This window comes from Homo sapiens, chromosome 2, assembly GCF_000001405.40.
Source record: "Homo sapiens chromosome 2, GRCh38.p14 Primary Assembly".
Taxonomy (NCBI): domain Eukaryota; kingdom Metazoa; phylum Chordata; class Mammalia; order Primates; family Hominidae; genus Homo; species Homo sapiens.
This window is the reverse complement of record NC_000002.12, coordinates 164,441,846-164,464,985: the sequence shown is the minus strand read 5'-3', so window position 1 is coordinate 164,464,985 and position 23,140 is coordinate 164,441,846. Positions and strand designations below refer to the sequence as shown.

Genomic DNA, 23,140 nt, shown 5'->3' with positions numbered 1-23,140 from the left:
TGCCAGCACCTTGATCTTGGACTTCTCAGGCTCCAGAACTTTGAGAAATAAATTTCTATTTTTCATAAATTACTCAGTCTCAGATGTTTCCTTATAGCATCACAAACAAAGACAGGTTGTAAAGAGAGTATGAGTAAAATTTTAGCTGTCTTTAATGATCACTATTAGACTCATCTTTCTATTTACATAACACAGCTCTGCAAAAGTGTATTGAGTAACCTCTACATGGCAAGCGTTGTGCAAAAACAGAAAGTTATTGTTGCAGGATTTGATCTACAATATTACTGGGCTTTTCTGTGGGGACAGAACTGCCATATTTTTCAAAATTGATTTCTTCATTCAATTTCAATTTCCTTTTCATGATTAGCTAAATCGAAAGCAAATGTTTTGGGTCCTTTTAACCTGCTCACCTCAAACTCTCTTTCTCTTTCTGAAAAGATCTGTAATTTCCCAAAGTAGTGCGTGACTGTGGCATATAGTACTTATCCCGAAGAAGCAGGTTCTGCTGGGGGTTCATGCTTGAGTCCATTTTTCTTATCTTTCTCAAATGGCCGAAGTTAACTGATTTGAAAGAGCCTCATTTTAAATTACATTCATTCAGTGAAAACAGAAATTAACACTTAGAGACATCTATATGCTAATGATTGTAGCTCAGGGAATTCACTTCTAACCTTTTCAAAAGGCACTGGTAAAGAGCCATTTCACTTGAAAGCAACTTAGTAAAACTGGTAGATTAATTAAATACCATAAAATTTCTTTAAGAATCTGTATTTCATTTATCATTTATGCCATTATTTTTTCTTTTTTTATGTGAGCTACCTTGGTTCATATCATGCCTTCTAGGACACATTATTTAGCAGATTATTTGACATGAATAATGCAGAATCCAGCATGGTAATGTGATGCTATGAGTTTGGAAGATAGTAAAAGAACAAAAGACAAACAAAGGAAATCTGTTCATCGAGGCCACCCCTAGTTCATGTTGTAGCTTTGTGCAATTTTTTTTTTTAAGCGCCCTCTGTCAGTGAAGCCCTGGGCAAGGGGATAAGCCTGGGAGTAGTAAATGGAGTCTAGGTACAAACTCCACTTGCTCCTTCAGCCACTTACCCTGTGCAATGAACAAATTTCACAGCTATACACGGCATCCTTTAGTGGCTCTCTGTCTCATTGCTCCATCTTACTTATCTGAGTTCACCTTATCTCCACTTATTTTCATCCGTGATTTCATGTCTTTAAATTTTACTATCAGGGAAAAGCAAGCTTTTCCTGTCTGCTCATGCCCTGAAGAGTAAACTCTGACAAGGATTCATTTTAGAGTAGGATACATTTTGTTGAGCTGCATGAAGGGGAGACCATGTGCTTGAACAGGGCAGCCCCTTCAGAGGATACACTCATGAAGTAAAGAGAACTTGCTATTAATTGCACATGCAATATATCGCTTTTATTTTCTGAATAAGCAGCAAGAACTGCACATTTTAGGGCATGGGGGGTTTGCAGTCAGACCTGCTTGTGAATTCAATAAGAAAGCAGAGCAAAAAATGTGAATAGCCACTTTATCGAAGAGGATATAAGGATTGGGAAGAAGTATATGATAGCCATTAGGGAAATAAACAATAAAATCACAATGAGATACCATTACATCACTCTTAAAATGGCTGAAATTAAAAAGACCAACCACACCCACTGTTGTGGGGAAGGGAGGGGGCCTGAATAATCCCTGAGGAGTAGTAGAATAGCAGATGGAACACTGAGAAGTTATTTCCTTGAGGATAGATTTCCATGATGGAAAGGAAATGAGAGGTTCTAAGAGGCGGGCTAGTGGCTTGTATTATAGTATAACCTGCCTTTGCTGGTGTGTGGCGATTAGGCCTGGTGGAACCGCCATCAATAAATCAAGCGTGATCAGGGTGAGGAACAGGAAAGAAGGAAATTTGGGGAAATGGGGTGAATGTCAGGTGGATCAGAGAGATACAGTCATGGGGGTCAGGTGTGGTATCAGGAATAATGTGGGAGGTCAGATTGAAGTCTGGGCCAGGAACAACGGTAATTGTGGGAGACTCAACAAAGAGTGAGTACAGCTGAAGGAGCCGGAAAGCAGAAAGTCTATGTGTCAGGTATGAGGAAGAAAATAGATTTTGGAAGTTATGAGAACTGTAGAGAGTGAGTTGAGCATAGTTTGTGATTCTGAGGGCCTCTAAAAGTATTAAAGCAGCGGCAGCCGCTGCACGCAGACATGAGGGCTAGGCTAAAACAGTAAGGTCAAGTTGTTTGGACAGAAAGGCTACAGGGTGTGGTCCTGGCTCTTGTGTAAGAATTCTAACCACGCTAACCATGCCTAGGAAGGAAAGGAGTTGTTGTTTTGTAGAAGGTGCTGGGGTTTGAGAGATCAGTCGGACATGATTGGCAGGGAGAGCACGTGTGTTTTTATGAGAATTATGCCGAGATAGGTAACAGATGAGGAAGAAATTTGGGCTTGATTGAAGTAATGGGGGCTGTCTGTGAAGCTTTGCAGCAGTACAGCCTAGGTAATTTGCTGAGCCTAATGGGTGTCAGGGTCAGTCTAAGTGAAAGCAAAGAGAGGCTGGGACGAGGGGTGCAGGGGAATAGTGCAAAAAACATCTTTAAGATCAAGCATGGAATAGTGAGTTGTGGAGTAAGGTATTGAGGACAAAAGAGTGTACAGGTTGGGCACCACAGGGTGGATAGGCAAAACAATTTGGTTGATAAGGCGCAGATCCTGAACTAACTTGTAAGGCTTGTCTGGTTTTAGGACAGGTAAAATGGGGGAATTGTAAGGAGAGTTTATAGGCTTTAAAAGGCCATGCTGTAGCAGGTGAGTGATAACAGGCTTTAATCCTTTCAAAGCATGCTGCGGGATGGGATATTGGCGTTGAGTAGGGTAAGGGTGATTAGGTTTTAATGAGATGGTAAGGGGTGCATGATTGGTCGCCAAGGAGGGAGTAGAGGTATCTTATACTTGTGGGTTAAGGTGGGGGGATGCAAGAGGAGGACGCAAAGGAGGCTTTGGATTGGGAAGAAGGGCAGCAATGAGATATAGCTGTAGTCCAGGAATATTCAGGGAAGCAGATAATTTAGTTAAAGTGTCTCAGCCTAATAAGGGAACTGGGCAGGTGGGGATAACTAAAAAGAGTGCTTAAAAGAGTATTGTCTAAGTTGGCACCAGAGTTGGGGAGTTTTAAGAGGTTTAGAAGCCTGGTTGTCAATACCCACAACAGTTATGGAGGCAAGGGAAACAGGCCCTTGAAAAGAAGGTAATGTGGAGTGGGTAGCCTCCATATTGATTAAGAAGGGGACGGGCTTACCTTCCACTGTGAGAGTTACCCGAAGCTCGGCGTCCGTGATGGTCTGGGGGCTTCCGAGGCGATCGGGCAGTGTCAGTCTTCAGCCGCTAAGCCGAGAAGATCTGGGAAGGAGTCAGTCAGAGAGCCTTGGGCCAGAGTTCCAGGGCCTCTGGGAGTGGCTGCCAGGTGAGTTGAACAGTCCGATTTTCAGTGGGGTCCCGCACAGGTGGGATGCGGCTTAGGAGGAATCTTGGGCTGCGGGCATTCTTTGGCCCAGTGGCCAGATTTCCGGCATATGTAGCAAGCTCCTGTGGGAGGAGGTTCTGGAGGAACTCCTGGCCGCTGCGGTTCAGGCGTTTGGAAGTTCTTGTGTGCTGGAGATGTGGCTGGGGTTTGTCTCACAGTGGAGGCAAGGAATTGCAACTTTTTTCTATTATTGTACACCTTGAAGGTGAGGTTAATTAAGTCCTGTTGTGGGGTTTGAGGGCCAGAATTTAATTTTTGGAGTTTTAATGTCGGGAGCAGATTGGGTAATAAAATGTATTTTGAGAATAAGATGGCCTTTTGACCTTTTAGGGTCTAGGGCTGTAAAGTGTCTCAGGGTTGCTGCCAAATGAGTCATGAACTGGGCTGGATTTTTATATTTGATAAAAAAGAGCCTAAACGCTATCTGATTTGGAATAAAGAAAAAGAAGCATTAACCTTGACTATGCCTTTAGCTCCAGCCACCTTTTTAAGAATAAATTGCTGGGCGGGAGGGGGAGGGCTACTCACGGAATGAAACTGTAAGCCGGAGCAGGTGTGAGGAGGGGAGGCGATAAAAAGATTATAGGGTGGAGGAGTGGAGGCTGAGGAAGAATTAGGACCTAGCTCGGCCTGTGGAGGAGGGGAGAGGTCAGATGGGTCTGTAGAAAAGGAAGATTAGAAAGACTCAGCGACGCTTGGGGTTGGCACTGAGGGGACAGGCGGGAGGGAAAGAAGGAAGATTTGGGAGAAGTTGCACTGGGCACAGAGACTAGGAAGGGACTGATGTGTAAAAGAATGCCTGGAAGTCAGGCACCTCAGACCATTTGCCCATTTTACGACAAGAATTATTTAGATCTTGTAGGATGGAAAAATTGAAAGTGCCGTTTTCTGGCTATTTGGAACTACTCTTGAGTTTGTATTGGGGTCAAGCGGCATTGCAGAAGAAAAGGCATTTAGGTTTTAGGTTAGGTGTGAGTTGAAGAGGTTTTAAGTTTTTGAGAACACAGGCTAAGGGAGAAGAAGGAGGAATGGAAGGTGGAAGCTTACCCATAGTGAAGGAGGCAAGCCCAGAGAAAAGAGTAGAGACACGGAGAAGGGATGGGGGGTTCTTGCCCTCCAGAAAAGCAGAGAAGGGGTTGAGGCATGGAAATAAGGGATTGGGGCACAGAGATAAGAGGTCAGGGTGCGGAAATAAGGGATTGGAACACAGAGATAAGAGGTTGGGGTGCGGAAATAAGCGATTGGGGGGTTCTTGCCCCCTAGGATAGCGGGACTTGCCGCTAAGGGTGAAGGAGAAGGGGTTGAGGGGTACTTGCCCCTGCCCCAGGAAAGCGGGACTTGCCACTAAGGGTGAAGGACCAAGGCAGACGTCCCTGCGTGGTCTGACACCCTTGAAACGTGAGTGTAGAATCAGAGAGGCGTCCCTGCAATGATTAAACACCAAGGGAAGGCTGCCTTCCCAGTCCGTGACCGGCGCCGGAGTTTTGGGTTCATGGATAAAACATGTCTCTTTTGTCTCTACCAGAAAATGAAAGGAATTGAAATTAAGAGAAGGGAGAGATTGAAGTGTGGCGCCAAGATTGAAAGGAGAAAGAGGTTGAGGGATAGTGAGGGAGGTTGGAGAAGAGAGTAAAAAGAGGCCGCATAGCGGATTTGAAATTGGTGAGATGTTTCTTGGGCTGGTCAGTCTGAGGACCTGAGGTCGTAGGTGGATCTTTCTCATGGAGCAAAAAGCAGGAGGACAGGGGATTGATCTCCCAAGGGAGGTCCCCTGATCCGAGTCACGGCAGCAAATTTCATGCGCGTCCGTGTGAAGAGACCACCAAACAGGCTTTGTGTGAGCAACATGGCTGTTTATTTCACCTGGGTGCAGGCGGGCTGAGTCCGAAAAGAGAGTCAGCGAAGGGAGATAAGGGTGGGGCCGTTTTATAGGATTTGGGTAGGTAAAGGAAAATTACGGTCAAAGAGGGTTTGTTCTCTGGCGGGTAGGAGTGGGGGTTGCAAGGTGCTCAGTGGGCAGGAGTGGGGGTCACAGGGTGCTCAGTGGGGGTGCTTTTTGAGCTAGGATGAGCCAGGAAAAGGACTTTCACAAGGTAATGTCATCAGTTAAGGCAAGGACCGCCCATTTACACTTCTTTTGTGGTGGAATGTCATCAGTTAAGGTGGGGCAGGGCATATTCACTTCTTTTGTGATTCTTTAGTTACTTCAGGCCATCTGGGCGTATACGTGCAGGTCACAGGGGATGCGATGGCTTGGCTTGGGCTCAGAGGCCTGACAAATAGGGGTTCTGGAAAGCAGAGGCAGGTTGGAAATCTCAGGGCAGATCCAGCTGATCCTGCTTGAGAACAGGGCTTTCTCAGGTATGATTCCACTTGTAAATCCCAGCTGTCAAACTGTGAGGGACACAGCTTCAGAAGAGGAAAGAGCCAGCCTGTGGGAGGAGTCCAGAGAGTGTGTTTGTTGCAAACTGGAAGGCAGGGGAGGTAGTTATCAGTCCTGTAATAGGTCCAAGCTGATTGGCGAGCCCCTTGTTGATGCTAATGAGGCTATTTTTATACTGATAGCTCTATTATTCCCCACTATTGTCATGGTTACATGGACAAAAGGAGAAAGCAAATGTAAACTTTCTGAATAAAGGAGATAGCATGAAATTGGAATGATTTAATCATTTATTCTAACCAAAAAAAAAAAGAAAAAAAAAAAAACCAAGTCTTTCCAGAGATGAGTTAATGAACTCTGGTTTCCCCCTGAGGCTATAATCCTCCACAGACATCAGTCTCCTCATCTGTTAAAATGAGGGGGTTGGACTAGATGATCTCTAAGGTCCCTTCCAGCACTGAAAATTCTATGATTCTATGATTATTTAATCTATTTCCTAGTGACTGGAAGTTTTGCATTTACCATATGTAGAAATGAAACAAAGGAAACCTAACTTGGAAAGTTTGAATTTTATTTGCATCACAAGCTTGATTTTGAAGGAAATGTTTGAATTCAAGAAATTGATGTCTACTATATTTTAGACTACATATAGTCACCTGCCTGTCTAGTAGCACACTGAGAGAGTTGTGGGGAGCATGAAAGCATTCAAAAACCCCTCTGGCTCAGGTTAGAGGTGCAATTCAATATTCATGATAGGTTACCAAGGAAAATAACGTGTTATCTGTGCTAACTCCAATCCTCTTTCAAAATGCTTCTCAAACACAATTTGGCACAAACACATCAAACTAATATGGCAGCTGTGGTTCACACTTGGCGTTTGTCAAAGCTGTGCCTGACCAAATCAGAATGTTTATCTCTAGACTTGAGCAGACCCTACAGACAGTAAAAAAATGGATCAGAATCCTTTCAGACAGATTATTAAGCAGATTATTAAGGCTGTTATATATTTGGGCCACAAATGGGCAGGGCTTTATTTTATTCTATAATTTTTTTAATATCATAGCATCTATAGAGAATGAGCATATTGCTGGAATCAACTACCTTAAAGTGTTAGCTCATTAATCCCCTATTTCTATTCATAACATCACCTAAGTTTCTTTCAGTTTATACCTAGTGTTTCAGGAAAAAGGTTACAAATGTTGCATTAGATGCATACAATTTTAGCCTTAGCATGAATCACCTTCTGTAGCCTTATCCTCCAGAAACTTATAATTTGCTTGGGCAGGTAAGACTTCAACAATAAGCACTCTTAGTAGGGGCCCAGGGGATGAGAAATATTCATATATTAGATGCTTTCTGTGTACCAGGAACTGGGCAGTCTTCACTCTCTGAGGTAGGTGGCCTCATTTTTGTTCTGTAGATTAAAATCCTGAGTCAAGGGAATTAAAAAAGGAAACACACAAAAACCATAGTGGCATATCTAGTAAACTGTTGATCTGAAGTTTGAATCCTGGTTGATCCGACACCAAGACCTGTCTCATTCCCACAGCACTTGGGATGACACACACATTTCATCCCATGCCATCTGTCAAAGCTGAGTCATTGATGGGGCTCTACTTGGAAAGTTGGTTGAGAATGTTTCTCAGAGCACCTCTGGGATCAGAGGAAGGTGCCTTGGTCCACTTGTGCTGTTTCATGGATTCTCAATATTGCCTATACTTGCCTTATCTCTGGCTGGCTAAATAAGTGGCACACACCTAAGTTATTGGAGAAAAGAAAAGCAAGGAAAGCTCAGTGGAGTCTGCAGTGTTCATGGACAATTTCTCAGAAAACTTGGAAGATGAACCAGTCTTGATCAATGGGCAGAATTTGAATAAGTGGACAAAAAGCAAACCAGCCCTCTAAAAAGAGCGCCAGAGGCAGAGGCAACAAGAGAGCAGATCTTTAAGGCAACGATGGTGTAATTTTTATGAAGCTGAGACACTTGCCTTCACGCCTGTGTTAACAATGGGGCGATGGAATACACGTAGATTGTTTAAACTGGTTTAAAGCCCTTTCGCATTTACACTGCTTGAACAATCTCTCTGTGTTTCATTAGTTGCCAATAAGTTATCCCTTTGTTTCTGTGTTTGGTTTTATGGATTCTATTGTAATGATGAGAGCACAGGGAAACCATGTAATGACAGGGAGAAGCACTCGCTGGGGGAAAAAAAAAGCACTTTGAAGCGGTGGGACTCCCAGGCTGCATCTGGGCACAATGCCAGCTTTTCTGCAGCTGAAGAACTTGCCACAGAAACAGCTGGCAATAGCTGCAATTCACCTGTAATAAAGACAACCAATACCAACCACTCAGCACACTAATCAATGATTTAATAATTGTGTCAATGAAACAGATTATTCAATTGGCTTCGGGAGACTGTAGCCCCCCTCTGCAGTCATATGCTGCCTTTGAGAATGGCTTAGACTTCCCCAACTGACTCATACATTTCCCTCCAGTACTTTTATTTTAAGACTCTCCTGGTTACAGCTTTTATGTCAAAATATATTGGAACATCATATGCCCCTTAGACCAGTGTTTATTGACATTTATGGAAGTACCAGGAAATTCCAGTGAGCGAATAGAGCCTTTCCTCACTCTGTCTACTGAGGTTTGTAGAATCTGTCCCTGGTGTTAGCACTGTCCTCTTTGGGGGCATAGAATATCCTTTCTCCGAAGGAGCTGCTACTTCCTGGGATGCATCACAGTTCAGTACGACTAAGGGGGTTTTGCAAGAAAGAGTACATATTAGGCTTCATTGCATTTTGAATTTTTATTACCTTTTCCCTCTTCCTCTGCAATACTGTGAGTCGTTCTCAAACTTAAGGTTTAATCCAATTATAAGTAAGAATTTCCTATGGAGGATCTGGGACAACTTTTTCCTTCACATTTACTGGTGGACAAATGAAGAAATACGATTAAACGTGCAAAAGTCTATCCTTGGCTTTTCCTTGGCATGCAGAGTAGGCTGCTGGTATCCCTCTGTCTTCCGCAGTCCTCTTGCACAAACCCCTCAGACCATGGCCTCGGGAGGCATGTGGAGTTTGGTTGGATAGTGTGGGATGGCTGGTGGTCATAGCAGTTCTTGTGATCACTTTGCTGCCACTTCCCGCTCAGGAAGTTCTCCTACAGTAGTGCTGCTTTTTCCACTTTATCTTCTTAATCTCATACTAGATGATTTAATTGGCTACTGTCTAAGCTCTCATATGTTAGTTAAACCTGGTAGATTTTAGAATTTGAGCATTAATGATACTGGGTCAGCTAGAGTTAGGTTTTCCCAGTTGGTGAGCCTATCATAACATTTGACTTTTATAAGAAAAAAAATAGGGATATATGTAATTGCATAATTGGCTCTTAAAACTTGTTGGTAGGTATGTGGGATCCAAATAGGAAGTCTAATAGAAAAAGAATCAGAACCTACCCCTAACCAGCAAGGGTAAACTAGCTTTAATTTTCTTTTTTTTTTATTTTTGAAACAGGGTCTCACTCTATTGCTTAGGCTGGAGTGCAGTGGCGTGAGCATAGTTCACTGCAGCCTCAAACTCCTAGGCCAAAGCAATTCTCCTGCTTCAACACCCTGAGTAGCTGGGAGCTCAGGCACCCACCACCATGACAGTCTAATTTCTTATCTTTTCATGGAGACAGGGTTCTCCCTGGGTTGGCCAGGCTGGTCGTGAATTCCCAGGCTCAAGAGATCCTCCTGCCTTGGCCTCCCAGAGTGCTTGGATTACAGGCATGAGCCACTGCATCCGGCCCCTCCATTGTTTTAAAAAAGCTCCTTTACTATCACTCTCCTTATCCCTGATTTATCCTGGGTTCCATTAATTAAGGGCCTGATCTGTGAGAAGACTGTGTTCCTTTTAGGGGTATATGCATTTTAATGGGTTTGCTCAGGGCCTAAAAAAGATTCAAGACACAAAGGACTGGAGTCAATAAGGTTGGGATTTCAGGCAGTATGACAGGTATTGAGGGGGATATACTGTTGGCCAGAGGCCTTGCTGACACCATTCACATTTCACAAAAGACAGTTGTCTACCCCATAAGCAAATGGACAATATCCTTTTCTTCTTTTTTCCCTTCATAATTTTGACATAAACTATGCAGTGGAAAATAGGTACTGACTGGTAGTATCCATTATGTATGGGGGCCAATTTTATTAAGGATCTAGGAAATACCTCCCTCGGTGGCATATTTAGAAAGTAATATTGGCATCCCGTCTGTCCATGTTATCAGAGAATGACACGTCAATGTCTTGATGCCTGATCTTAATTATTCACTCTCTGCCATTTCCAGAGACCTGAGATGGCTTTCGTCTGTGCTGACACATAGAATATAGTGAAGAGCATTAGTGGATTCCAATTATGAATATGATAACAGAGAACAGAAATTATCTATATGTACAGATATATAAAATTACATATAAATGTATAAACATATATACTTATGTAAATGTTGGTCCATCAAACCAATTTAGAGGAATCTAGCATAGGTGGTGAGAGAGCCATCTCATTCACACATGTAAAGAACCGTAGTGGCTTTTCTTCCCTGATCATCCCCCAGAGAGCACATTGGATTACTTAAATATTACCTATTAATATTTATGCAATGTTTCACATTATATAATTTGTAGAGTATTCTTTTGAGGATAAAATGAAGAGATAGATATGAAAATACTTTGAGGATTGGAAGCTGGAAGATATATTTCATCATAATTATGATTATGATTATTTTCATGTTATCCATTTGGCTTCACATTTTGGATTACAAATTCCCAGAGAGTAGGGCTGACATCGGTGGGATTTTCACTGTGAGTAGTTAAATGGCACAATCATGAACAGGGCACATCACACAGCAAAGCAGAAGGAACAGTGAATTGGGAGCCAAGGAGCTTGAATTTTATTCCCAGCTCTGCTGGTAACAATCCACGTGCCTTGGGCAAATCATTTAATCTCCCTGGGTCTTTGAGTCTTCATCTGTAAAATGAGAAAGTGAATCGGCCAATGTTACATTCAGCTCCAATTTTCAGAGTTTTTTTTTATATGAAATCTCTCATCAGGGAAAGTTCCTACTGCAAAGTTATTGCTTCAACCACAAAAATTAGTTGGGATCAGCTCGCATAACATGTTAGGTTGTCAGAATTTCAGAAAACTCGAAAATTTTCCAGAAATTGTTTCAATGCCAACAGGCTGTTATCTGTGTTGCTGCCAAGACATTATAATGTGTGGGAACAACCAGTAAAAAAAACATAAAAACAAAAGCTTGGGGGGAAATCTTTGGCTGCTCAATGAATCTTGTTTTTGGTCTGATTTATCTGACTACAAAGAAGTAGTAAATGAAAGTTTTTTCTTTCTTTTAACTTTTTCTTCCCCTTTCCTTTCTACCTTACCACCTGAGCCCTATTCCTTGGAGAAAAATAGGATCATTTTAAAACTGCCTTGATAAATTAACTAGTTTAAGTTAGTTGGAGAAAAATAAATTTCTACATCTCTGAAGGTCTGAATAATGAGGTGATATCAGAATAGTAATGTAAAGAAAGTTGAGGGAGCAAGACTTTATTCCCATCTATGTTGGTCAAGAGCATCAGGCTGAGGGAAGAGCAAGTGCAGAAGCCTAAAAGTATTTTTTGAGGCAGGAGAGTATCTGGTTGCAGGAATAGCAAAAAGGCCAGTATTCCTGGTGTCAGAGAGAGAGAGAAAAAGTAGGAGAGGATGGTTGAAGATGAGGAGGGGAAGGCAGGTTTTGTAGGACTTTGTAGGGCATTAATGAAATGTGGACTCATTTGGGTTTTGCCAGAGGAATGACTTCCAAGTGTTGTTGCAATAGGATATTTCTGGCAATAAATGGGGAGTGCAGCTAAGAGACAATAAGAATAATCCCGGGGAAGGAGGATGATATCTTGGAACAAAGTGGTAATGGTAGAGGTGTTGATAAGTGGTCTGGATCCACTTTGACAAAAGAGCTAACATAATTTGTTGATAAATTGGAATATGAGAGAAAGAGAGAAGCCCAAGATGACACAGAGGTTATGGCTTGAGAAGTTAAAACTATGGAATTTTTATCAACTGAGATGAGAATATGAAGAATTTGTCTTCAGATATGTTTTTGATGCCTGGATGAGTAAGAAATGTTTCTTAAATTCTTACTCAGTAAACCTGTATTGAGTAATTATTTTCATTCATATTTAAATTTAGAAAGGAAACTTAGAAATGGGAAAAAAATCTAAGACTCAGCCATTCTTTTAATTTCATTCATGCATTCATTTACTAATTTAGTTAATATGTACTGCAATCTCTTACACATTAAAATCACCCAATTAGGTGCTGGGAGAGGTAGAAAATTGTTCATATGTGAATTATATTGTCAGCACACATATAATTTATTAGTGGTACCTGATAGAGGGTAGAAAGATGATTCATTAAAACAGGTAAAGTACCATGATATTTGGATATAGGCAAGTGACTATGGCGAGTAGTGCCCTATGAGATGACCTTAAAAATAGGTTGGCATTTTATATTCCTGGATGAAGGTTGCCACATCACCAAAGCCAGAAAGACCATGAAAGAGGAAAGACATTTTCCTATCTGTTAATGATTTTATGAGATTGTTGAAAGTAATCTGAAAGAACAATCTAGATGAGACTCTCAAGAAATTCTGATAATTAAGCCCCAATGCTCATTGTATGTAACACATTTACTTATATGTAGCTAGAAAGGGATTAGTTATATACCATCCTTGGGAGGATTACGAAAATTTTTCCATGCTTCAGAAAGGCTAATCCAGTCTCTATGCGTCCTAAATTCAAGGTTATATTTATGTATAACTGAAATTCAACATTATATTTAACTAGAATAGAAGAGTTCAGCTCCTTGTCAAACCTCCATATCTAACTCCCTAAGCAAACAAGATGGTGGTAGGCCTGATGTCTGTTGAACTTGACATTGGGTGAGAGGCTGTAGGTAAGGTAAAATAGAAAAAGAAATAAAAGGAATTGCTCTTACCCTTGCGGGTCATGTAATCTAATTGGGAAGGCAAACACAAGGACGAATACATAAGAACAGTTTTATAGCATGATCTAAATTCTGCCCAGTGACATCATAGTCTATGAATGTGTACAAAGTGTAGGGTGCTAATTTGCATTAAGGAATAATGAAGGTCGGCTGGGCTAAATTAGAGAGGACATCCTTGAGAATCTAGATCCTAAGGAAATATTGGCAAGTCATTGATTAGTCAATTTTTAAAAATTGACATTTGAGCAGAGATTTTATGAGCTAAACTATTGAGATTTTGTGGGAATGCTGATACACAGATGGCTTTCCTTAATATTTAGAAGAAATCTTCATGTACAAAAATCTTTGCTTCATTTATGTTTGTACTCCTCGAGTCTGCAGGATTTTCCTTTCCTGAAGGCTGACATCTGTCTAATACTTGAGTTGTGAAAAATGTCCCTTTTGATAGGCTCTTTTCATTGACAGTTACAAAATTTCCTTTTGGAAAGCACTGAGTACTGCCTTCACAAAATGAACACTCTAATATGATGAAAACGTTCAAGGAAATGCAAGATCCCACACAGACAAATCCCTCACCCCTGGTGTGTGGATAACTGACTGATAAAGCTGCATCTCTCAGTATGTGGACACGGTGAGGGATTTTGAGGAAGGGCTCTTTTCACTTGGCAGGGGCTTACTCCTTGGAGCCCTCCATACAAGAAGCTGGAGACATCCTATACACATTCAAGAGAACAGGGAACCACACTGGATTTTTCCAGTGTCCACTTCGTGTAATATGTTGCCAAAACCAAAAATTTATAATGGTAAATATCTGAGGTTAAATGTCAAAGGGGAAATGCTGTTGCAGTTGGAGGAGGAAAGATTGTGCTGTTTTCTTTTTCTTTTTTTTTTGAGACGGAGTCTCACTCTGTCGCCAGGCTGCAGTGCAGTAGCATGGTCTCAGCTCACTGCAACCTCCACCTCCCGGGTTCAAGCTATTCTCCTGCCTCAGCCTCCCCAGTAGCTGGGACTACAGGCACGTGCCACCACGCCCAGCTAATTTTTGTATTTTTAGTAGAGACGGGGTTTCACCATGTTGGCCAGGATGGTCTCGATCTCTTGACCTCGTGATCTGCCCGCCTCGGCCTCCCAAAGTGCTGGGAGATTGTGCTGCTTTTAAACGGCACGTTGATTGAGGCTGGAGAAAAATCTGACAGCGCCCTGTGTTACCTGAGCACCGGCACATTGAAATATCACATAAGTGATGCATAGCATTTAATGAGTCGGGACTGAAAACTTTAATTTGCTTGTAGGGCTTTTTATTATTTTATTTTTGTTCATTATATTTTCTGCTGAGTCTCTGTGGATGTTCTGCATTTTCATCATCAAATGACTGGCTGGCTATTTTTGTCAAACAAGAAGCCTGAAACCATCAAGTCTGAGTGTGGAGACAGTCTGCCCGCTCTGTCAACAGGATGAAAGTGAGTCTCAGGCTTTTTTAATTACAAGGATAACATGTTCGCTCATCTAATAATGAAGATGGTTAGCAATTTTAAATTTTAATAATCAATTACTGAAAGTAATTCTCCATTAAACCACAAGAGAGCCATTAAATCTCAAAAGATGGAACATGCTGTATGTAACAGTAGCAAATTTTCTATTTTTAAATATCATTAGGGAATATCTGATTGTTTCATTTCTCTGCATTTCTTTTACCTTTTTCCTCATGCAGACCATCTCATTTTCTGCAGGAAGACAGCACATGATCTTATAAATAATAAAAGAAAAACCTTGCAAGACTTGATCCAGGGGTGTGAAATATGTGCTAAGAATGTAATTTATTTCAGTCTGGCATATTTTGACTGAATAATAAGGAAGGTGACTAATTAATATTATACTATGCTGTGGGCAAGGCAGCATAGTGGGCTGGTCCATGCTCCTTTCACCTCTGGAGACCTGCATCCAAGCCTTAGAGGAGTTACATCCGCTGAGCAGGGCTTGGGGAAGGGGAGGGGGAAGCGTCAGATGTCTTTTCTTGGCCGTGGAGACCCCTGTCCATATTCTAAAACTACCCTGAACATCAGCTTCTGCTCTGAGGAGATGAGGGAAAAGATAAATGATTGCTAGTTGGCTGTTCAATTTGGCAGACTTATATGTCAGGGGGAGAGAGCTCCGTGACAGCTTCAGCTGCCCTAGCTCTAGCCTGGCTTAGCTCTCTCACTTTCATCCCGCTTAAATCTTTGGAAATACATGGAATAAACAGTGTGTATGTGTGTGCATGTTTTTTTGTGTGTGTGTATTCAGGTAGGATGTTGGATAGGGGTGACCAGAAAACAGATAATGATTTAAAATCAAATTAGGTTAAATCTCCATTAGAAGCAGCTGATTCCATTTCTACAGTATTCAAATCTCAAAGAGTAGAAAGATACTGTGATAAGACCCTTGGTTTGCTTTCAGATTATGGGAAGGCCACTTTAAGTCTAACCAGTTGTGCTACACTCAGCACCAACTACCTTCCGGACTGTGGGATGCAGAGAATGTCATTGCTTCAAGTGCCATAAGCAACAGGGCCAGAAATGGGGTTCTTATCACCTCATCATCTTTGATTGTTTTTCTGATGGGGAGTATGCCCGTATTTCTGAACTGTGCTGACCTTTCCAACAAGCAATCCCTTGCTTCCCCCAGAAGGGACTGAAGCAGAAACTGTGCCAAGCCAGGCAGAATTGGGTGGGGGTAGGAGTAAGGTAAGCCCAATTTCATGACACGGGTAGTTAAAATGCAGATTATTTGTACTTATTCACAAGATATTTCAAGTTTCTTGATATTGTAGTGTTCTTGTTTCTCTCTCATTCTGCTACGTGGAATTTAATCATGACTGGAACCATCAGCAGGGAGAAGCTGGTCTAGGGGAGATAAGGGAAAAGTAGCTGGCATTGAGTAATTTTGATCTTTATGGGCACAACTGAGAGATGCCTTGGAGAGGAAGGTTAAGAAGAAATTACTAAAGTTTAGATTCTGATGTGAGTTTCTTTCTTTTCTTTTTTTTTTTTTTTTAAGGCGGAGTCTGGCTTTGTCGCCCAGGCTGGAGTGCAGTGGCACCATCTCGGCTCACTGCAAGCTCCGCCTCCCAGGTTCACGCCATTCTCCTGCCTCAGCCTCCCGAGTAGCTGGGACTACAGGCGCCCGTCACCACGCCCGGCTAATTTTTTTGTATTTTTAGTAGAGACGGGGTTTCACCATGTTGGCCAGGATGGTCTTGAACTCCTGACCTCGTGATCCGCCCGCCTCGGTCTCCCAAAGAGCTAGGATTACAGGCTTGAGCCACCGCGCCCGGCCCTGATGTGAGTTTCAATTACCTGGTTATGATGACGAATCTATGTTCTGCCTATCTACTATTATTTGCAAAACTGAGATCTTTGTGTGAGAGTGATATATTCCAACTGGGAAATCACCTCTGGATCGCATAGGCAGGTTTCAAGAGCCAGAAATCCTTTTCTGGCAATAAAAGGAGGCAATGGAGTCCTCATTAGTGGGTTGGGTTCTGCTTGATATCTTACTGCAATTCTTGCATGTTCTCTATCCCATTTTCTACAGAAAGAAGTCTGGTCCCTTAAAAGGGCATGTAATAGAAAATACTGGTTCTTTTATTTCAAGTCTATATTTAGAAACAAATTACAGCTCCTTATGCTGTGGTTTAGCCAAATGGCTATTTTGGGGTCATGAGAATCCCCCAAAGCTACCTGCCAGCTAACGCTGGTTGGGCTGTTTTAGATTCGTCCCCAGGGTGCACACAGGTAACTGAGCAACATACATTGAGTCCTCAGTTATTTGGTTTGGAGGTCAGGCTGTGGATCCCCTCCCCTAGGAATCTTTACTACTACAGAGTAGGAGAGAGTGAACTCTTAGTGGCTTCCCTGCAGAATAACTGATACTCCACAGACAGTTGGAGGGAAAGGGCAGTGCCAAATCCCCCTTACTGCCCCAGAGGAGTTCGGGTTGTTCCCTGGAGGAAGAAAAAGTCACCCCTGGCACAACTGAAGGCAGGATTCTATTCCACAGAGCAGATGGAAAAGTCCGCAGGAGGCGACTCTGGGGACTCCTTTGCTGCTTGCTAAGAGCAGAGAACAGAATAAGGGCAAAGCCTTAGGGAGGCCTAAGCTAACACCTGGTGGAGAAACGGAGAGGCAATCAGGTAACCTTTCTAGATGGCTCATGGTTGGAATCATAGAAAGAAGAAATAGGAAACCTCTAGCTGTAGGTTCCTTGCTTACTGATAAGAATTTGAATGACTCGTGAAGATCAAAGAGGTAGAGAGCAGCTCTACCTACACCAAAATGGAGGGCCTCTGATTCAAGGCACCAGGTTTGCAGTGCTATGAAATGTGTACAGTGAAGCAAATGATTTTACACTGAGGTGCAAAGCAGCCGGAGTGTGAGATAGTGGCAAGGATCTGGGCTTTTGCAGTTGGACTGTGCTGGGTTTGAGTCCCAACTCAGCCACTCATTAGCCTTGTGACCTTGAGCAGTTTACTTAACTACTTTAAACCTCGTTTTTCTCATCTGTTAAACCAAGATTAAAATAGGGCAGGATTTCTCAACCTCAGCACTATTGACCTGTTGGACTGGATAATTTAAAAGCCCCCAATTCAATGTAGGGGCTGTCCTGTGCATTGAAGAATGTTTATCAGCATCCCTGGCTTCTACCTCTCAATTGTCAATAGAACAACCATTGCCCACAAGTTCTCACAACCAAAACAAAACAAAACATGACTCCAGACATTGCCGAATATCCCCAGTGGGCAATATGGACATCGCTGAAAACAACTACAATAGTTTTAAGGTGGGAATAATGAAGTTCTATGCAAAGCACTCGGCATAGTATCTAGCATATAATGATTGCTAAATAGATATTTGGGTTTTTTTTTTTTACCCATTTATAAAAATATGAGAAGTATTTTTTATTTGATACTAAATAAAGCAGATATTAGGTGATGCCAATCACTCTCTCCATACACATGTGAATATTCTTAATTCAGAGTTTCAACTGGCTTGGGTGCCTTTTGCTTTGAACAAGAGGAAGCAGGTTAAGAAAAAGACCATTTTTTGTGTGTGTTCTCATTCTTAGTTCATGTGCAGTATGCAGATGCACTCACAGCTCACCTGGCAGAGGGTTTGCATAACAGTAACTGCATGATTAATTGATAAACACGGCAGTGTTCATAGCATATTCTGGAAGAACAATTACAAGTTCCCCAACGTAATAGATGTCTTGATGTTGAGTAGTTGCTCACGATATCCTGACTCACAAAGACATTTATGACAGTTATATGTAGGCTTCCATTAAAAATTTACTTATATTGTTTCTGAACCATAGAATATTCACTTGTTTCGTTGACATAATCTAACCAGGAAGAATGATATTCATTTCTGTTTATCATGCACATTAATGTCTTATCTCATTTGCTATTATTTGATAGCATGTACAATAATATCATCCTTCCAAATGCTATTCTATCTTCTTGCATTCAGTGATTAGAAACCAAATGTGCATCGTGCACTAAGTCCTGGCTTCACATCAAACTCTCACCACTTCTTCAGCAAAAGCAAACTTCAGGATACTAATAAGAATAGGCATGACTAACCAAGGTAATTTCTTCCTGAATTAATCTTAAAACTCTTTAAGAGTCATCAAGGTTTTATTTCTTTGGCTCCAGATTGAATTGTTGAATTTTGCAAGAAGCATTAAAAGTTACACAAGGGGGATTAAATTAAAACAAAAGATAAAACTAGCATTAAGACCACATTGAAGAGAGCTGGAGAAAAATGTGTATTTTAAGCTCTAAACATCAAAAGATACATTTATACATATGTAGATTTTGTTTAAAAGCTTTTGTGTGTGTGTATATATATATATATATATATATATATATATATATATATATATTTGTTTTTTAAAGAAATCTTTGGGCTAAGAAAACCCACCTTTCAACTTGTATTGGAAATATTTGGATTTGGTCCTCCTATTTAATTGTAGAGTAAAATTCATAGAGTAACTTATAAAAACATTAATTTGACAGGTGCTCATTGCAAACACTTTGGGCAAATGGTATATTAGATTAGAATTTTTGTTTCCCTGAATTATAAAAGTAAGTTGAAGAACCAAGTCAAAACAAAGTTGTTTTTATTTCATTTAAATCTGCTGTGTGATCTTCCAGGCCATCTGTCAATTTCCCTCGCTCCACTTTCCAGCTCTTGTTTCTTGTACACTTTTCTTAGCCCCAAATACAAATTTTTATGCTTACTTACCTTTTCGTTTTGAGCATCATTTTCATCACTTTCTTAATTCTTTGGGTTAAAACACATCCTTCACATTCTCTTTCCAAGCTGCACCTGTTGCTTTATTCCTTAGCCTTCATTTCTTGGGTGGATATTTTTTACTACATTGTTTTGTACTGGTTTGTGTATTTTGCTTAGCAGTTTTATGCTGATTGCATGTGTTTTGTATCTTTCCAAGTAGATTGTTATATCATGGAAAGCATAGACTGCCTTTGATTTCTGTTTTTCTCAAAGTACCCACCAAAGTGTTTTGGATGTATGAATATTATATTGAACTATTTAAAATAAGTTTTAATGAGGGGCTTTTAATTTAAATGCTTAAAATTATATGATGACTCCACATAACCATCAATACCAACATCAGAAATACCAGTACTTAGAATGGTACACCTGTTTAATCCAGTTTAATTCTCATTTTGCAGATAGAAAAACTGAATGGATAAATGATGCAGGACGGGTGCGGTGGCTCATGCCTGTAATCCCAGCACTTTTGGAGCCAAGGCAGGCAGATCACAAGGTCAGGAGATCGAGAGCAATCTGGCCAACATGGTGAAACCCATCTCTACTAAAAATACAGAAATTAGCTGGGCATGGTGGCATGCGCTTGTAGTCCCAGTTACTTGGGAGGCTGAGGCAGGAGGATCGCTTGAACCTGGGAGGCGGAGGTTGCAGCGAGCAGAGATTGCACCATTGCACTCCGGCCCGGTGACAGAGCAAGATTCCGACTCAAAAAAAAAAAGATCCAATTGGTATAAACTCAGTGATCAAGCCAGAAGTGTAGCCTATTTTCACCGTTGAGTACCACTTTCTTCCCCATTAGTTAAATGTTACTAATGAAAAGACACACTAATCTAAAATAAATATAATGATAAGAGGGAGGTCACCTTACATCTTCCTAGAGAGTTAATACATAGCATGCTAGAGTTAAGCTCATGCTTTAGAGGCATGCAAGTGGTGTTTGCCACTCCTTAGCTGGGAGAACTCAGATGAGTAACTTAAACCTCAAGCTTTGCTTATTCATCTGTAAAATGGGAATTATAATTATACCTACATCTAAGTACCTAGGGCAACAGATATATTTCGCATGGCATATAAAAATCGGTTAGCACATGTAATTATTAACACTCTAGGCTCTAAAGTTTTAAAATAACTTTTAATTATGTTAATTTAATGTGTTTTTAGAGATATTATATATGGATATCAATCCATATATTTTATTGTATACTATATACTGTACTCTAGAGTATACCTTGACAAAGTCCCCAGGGAAATTTCTTTTAATAATATAGATTTTTTCTAAATTACCAAGAGAAGAAGATTTTACATTTGAGTTTTCAGCTTAAGATAATTTTGATGTTATAGATACTTTCACTTTCATTTTCAAGAGAATGCTTAATGTTCTCATTTTAAAAATAGCTGTCAACAACCTTAAAAGTTACTTTATAGATTTAAAGTCACATATCTCCTTAGAGAACTTTTTTCTTTCAAAAAGTGAAATGATGAAAAAGAATACTGAGGGAAATTGCTTATTTTATTCTCATGTAGCACAATATTCTTATAGCTATTCCTTTTAAAGTTATAGATTGAGTAGAATATAAAATTCACGTGAGGACCAAATCACAGATTACTTTTATGAATTCCATATCTTATCTGTTTTAATTTCAACCTATACCCTTTTTCTCAGATAATTAGAAAAACAAATTTCTGGAAAATGAGTTATGTAACATTATTTTTTAAACATTTGCTATTATCTAAATTAATCATCGAAAATATTATATTTTATCTAGTATAATCAAACTAGCTAATCAAACTAGCACAAATGCCTTTTCTTGGTCACAAGGAGGTTTGAAGTATGACTATACCAGGGCAAACTCTGAGTACTCTACATAAATTAATATCCCAAAGGAAAATGCATTATGCTTATAATTGAAGTTATCATTTCTAATACCACCATTAATGCTGATTGAATCTTAAATTTGGATTGAGATCATTTAGTTGAAGACACTATATCTCTTAAAAATTCATGTCAAGTACACCCTATAAAGGTTAATCTATAGTCTTGAAGCTATTTCTTAGGCTTTGACAATCTGGAGAAGGTCAGATTATGAATCCATGCAAAAATAAAAGCCTATTTTTTTTCAGTTAAGAAGGATACCTATTTTATGGAAAGATGGAGATTGGCAATTTAGCTTAAGGGTTTTATTTATTAATATAAGCATTGATAGACCCTTTAACAATATTACCCATTTTAAACTCAGTTTTATTTTGTTAATTCAGAATTTTCATTTTAAGGCATTTTTTTCTACTCTTTGTATGGAGAGTTCTTGGGATACGTAACCTCCTCCAACGAGTTGACTTGTTTATGTTCTCCTCCTAATTCTTTCACCTCTTTTTCTACATAGATGGTTGACATCATTATCTATTCAGTTGCTCTATTTAGAAGCTTTTTGGGGGGTCATTCTTGGTGCTCCGTTTTGCCTCCCTTAGCATATTCAATCAATCTTTGAGTGCTATCTGTCTTCTCATAAATAGCTACAGAAGGTATGAAAGGCATCTACATCTTTTTATTCTCCCTACCATTGCTTTAGTGTAAACAACAGCTGTGTAACCATTAGGCTGAACCATATGAAATTGTCAATGTTGTCAGACAAAAATACTCAGATATTGACAATTTATTTAATTCAACCTAAATTATTTTCCTTTCTCTTTAAAAATCCATTTGTTTCACACTGTGGCCAGAGAAGTCTTCCCAAAACACAAATATAAGCGTATCTCACCCCTGTTCAACCCCTTTAACAGTTTTACATTGTTCCCAGGATAGGGTCCAAATTCCTCTTTGTGACCTACAAGGTCCTGCAAGAGCTTGTCTCTATTGATTTCTTCAGTAGCACTTTTTGCAACTTTTCACCCTTGCAGTTTTTCTAGGTTGTATGTATCTACTCTTTTGTAGATATCATTTCTTCCACATGGACTGTCTTCACTGCCTCTTTTCTTGGCGCTTAATCCAGTTGATCTTTTAGATCTCAAAGTAGCCAACACTTTATCTGCCTCTCCAGGTGTGCATTAGAAGTTCCCTTAGGTGCTTCTATAGTATATTTAATTTTTCTTGTTTATTTTTCCATTTCTCTACCTAATATGCTTCATGAAGGCAAGGGCTATGTCTTCGTGGTTGAACCTTGGGCTTCTAGTGCTAACTCATGGGAGATAATACATTCTTGGGCAAGTTACTTAATCTCTCAAGTTAGCCTCAGTTTCCACATATCAAAGATGAAGATACCTTCTTAGGGAGGTGGTGAGAACTACATGAAATGACATATGTAGAATAGGAATTTTTGGCAGGTTACTCTTAGATGACTGTGCTTCCCCTCGCCATCCACTTCCACAGTATTGGTTTGTTTCCTTTCATTTGAGAGTTTTATTTGATCACTAGAGAGGAGAGATTTGGTGTATGATGTAGGGAGCATAGTGGAGGATGGGAGATAAAATGGAATCACCTTTCCAACCCACCACCAACTCACATTTTGGGGCCTACCTTTAGATGACTATAGAGAAAGAGGCAGAAGTGGTGAGATTCTTCAAGGCTGCACTGTACCTAGGTGATAACGTGTGCAAAGAGTTTGGAAGGAAACACTTCTGCCTTCCGCATGGGACTCAGTATTTTGTGACTCTCAGAGGATTGAGACTTTGAGTTTGCCCAGGGTCAGGTTATAGGGATTTATTTTAAGACTGTATTTGACAGTTAGGAAGGCAGCATTTATCTCATGGGAATACAAAACTAGTAAACATACTATGCCACTCTTTGCAGAGAATAGACCTGGATTCAAGGAAATCTAAGAGACTTTTGTTTTATGGGT

General features: G+C 40.4%; 2 annotated features.

Moving 5' to 3' along the window:
• Positions 4,628-5,494: an enhancer, noted in NCBI's record as "OCT4-NANOG-H3K27ac hESC enhancer chr2:165316002-165316868 (GRCh37/hg19 assembly coordinates)". NCBI's record gives its function as "activates a minimal SCP1, AML or CMV promoter by ChIP-STARR-seq in naive H9 embryonic stem cells {active_cell/tissue: H9 hESC(naive)}" and the evidence as "EXISTENCE:reporter gene assay evidence [ECO:0000049][PMID:30033119]".
• Positions 5,495-6,362: an enhancer, noted in NCBI's record as "OCT4-NANOG-H3K27ac hESC enhancer chr2:165315134-165316001 (GRCh37/hg19 assembly coordinates)". NCBI's record gives its function as "activates a minimal SCP1, AML or CMV promoter by ChIP-STARR-seq in naive and primed H9 embryonic stem cells {active_cell/tissue: H9 hESC(naive and primed)}" and the evidence as "EXISTENCE:reporter gene assay evidence [ECO:0000049][PMID:30033119]".